Genomic DNA, 2050 nt, shown 5'->3' on the forward strand with positions numbered 1-2050 from the left:
TGGATTAGAATGATCGGAAGTATATGGAAAATCAACTTGTCAAACTTTGGAACTCAGCAGCTTTTCTTCGTGTTATCCAGGAGAGCACAGGCTGTGCTCCAACATGTGTGTGTGACAACAATTTGAATCTCAGTGTTCAGCCCTTTGAAACCACATAGACTTATGTAATGTGACCCAATTCCTTGGTTTTGCAAAGAAGGGGGGTGTACAACTGGGAGAAGAGAATGCAGTTATTTACCAGTTTCTTCCTAAGAGCAAAAAACAGAATGTTCAGCATTTGTGGGAGGGGCAAGAGTTGTGTTCTGCCTGAGTAATTCTTGCTCACTGGATGGGCAGGATCAGGTGACAAACGTCCATATCTCTGCCTGGCACCAGCATGAGCCCTGCCCAGAGGCAGGAAAAAAATGTTTTAAGTCCTAGTTTCCCCAGCGGTTTGTAACAATGCCCTGGTGTCCCATTTCACAGGCTCAACGGGGGAGATTGAAGGTAATCAAGCTATAGGACCTTCAAAAACAACTCGAAGTAGAAGAGTTCAATTGGTAGCCCCCAAGACCAAAGGAGTTCTAAAGGGCCCCTTGCCTTTTGCTAAAGGCAAACAACAACAACAGCAACAACAACAACAACAACAAAACATATGCTTTGACCTTCTTCAGAGCAGACACTGCCAAGATGATATTGATGCCTTTGGAGGGAGAAGGAGAAAGAACTTATGGGGAATGATTTGGCCCTCAGTGATACTCAGCTGTCTATGTCATTCTCTATAAGGTTAGCAACTGCTCTTCAGCAAGGTTGAAGACTGTTGAAATGGATCCTGTAATCCTACATTTGAGGAAATGGGTGTTACTGAATAATTTTTACCCACAAAAAAAATCTTTTAGCTTTGCAAAAAGCTACATTCCCATAAAAAATAATTCCCTCAAATTAACATCTTCTCAACACAGCCTGTCTGTCCTGAATGTGAGACTGCAGGGTGGAAGAAAGTGTGATTGGTGGGAAGTGGTTTACCTCCCACCCAGTTCCAGTCCCACCCGCCCTCTCCCAGTTCCAAGATTTGAAGATTCTGTGCTGATGTTCCTTTTATAGCCATTAAAAACTAAGAGGATCTTTTCTAGAATTTTGACTTTGGATATCAGGGCCGCAGATTTTGACCTGAGGCTGCCTATTTTAAGGATCACTATCCCCTTTGCCTCCATAAAGACATTTAAGAGCATAGTCTGGGCTCCCAGTTTCTGCAATTTCTTTAGTAAGAGGCCTCTCGGGTCATTTCCTGAGATCCCCCTTGCCTGGGCCATTCTGGCAAAACAGCTCTGCAGCAGCAGGGACACTCCCCCAACCCTCAGGGATGTGCTCTTTTCACTGTGTTCCCAAAGCATATGGCCACACCTGTCAGCCAGCTCTGACCTGCTTGAGTAGGCATAACCCTCTGTGTAGAAGTCAGTGGTCACAGAGCCTGAGAAGCTCTTTCCTGTGCTCTCTTCCTCATTTCTTCTTCTCCCTCCTTTTCATCTCTCAATATATCCAAACACCTGAAGAAGAAACTGCTGGTTGCCTACTCCAATGTCTGTTCTTCACTTCCTTAATAACAGAAACTTGAATCTGTTTGGGGCTAGCAATGTACTCAGTTCAAGAAAGCCCTTCTTTTAGTTAGGAGTGGGCAGACTAGATTCTGGCTAATGAGCTATAAGCAGAAGTGTTGTGCAGTATGTCTGGGAAGCTTTCTTAAAAGGGAGGAGCCATCTTTCTTCCCCTTCCTCCTTTCTGTGGCCTAGATTGTGGATACAATGACTGGAGCTTGAGCAGCCATCTCAGACAATGAGGCAATATGCTAAATACAGTAGGCAGCAACTAGGAAGAAGTTTGGGTCTGTGGTGACTTTATAGAGCTGCCCTATCAACCCTGGACTGTGTACCTTCAGACTTCTCTGATGGGAGAGATGAATAAACTATCTTTTTAAAGCAACTGTTATTATTTTTGCTGTTATTACAGCCAGGGCTAATCCTAACTCATACTATACCACCCCCACCCCGAGAATGAGACTATGGCTTGACAA

At 44.3% G+C, this 2050-nt stretch overlaps 1 annotated feature.

The window, feature by feature from the left end:
- Nucleotides 238–739: an enhancer, noted in NCBI's record as "NANOG hESC enhancer chrX:106943730-106944231 (GRCh37/hg19 assembly coordinates)". NCBI's record gives its function as "activates a minimal SCP1, AML or CMV promoter by ChIP-STARR-seq in primed H9 embryonic stem cells {active_cell/tissue: H9 hESC(primed)}" and the evidence as "EXISTENCE:reporter gene assay evidence [ECO:0000049][PMID:30033119]".

This window comes from Homo sapiens, chromosome X (assembly GCF_000001405.40).
Source record: "Homo sapiens chromosome X, GRCh38.p14 Primary Assembly".
In the NCBI taxonomy this organism is placed as follows: domain Eukaryota; kingdom Metazoa; phylum Chordata; class Mammalia; order Primates; family Hominidae; genus Homo; species Homo sapiens.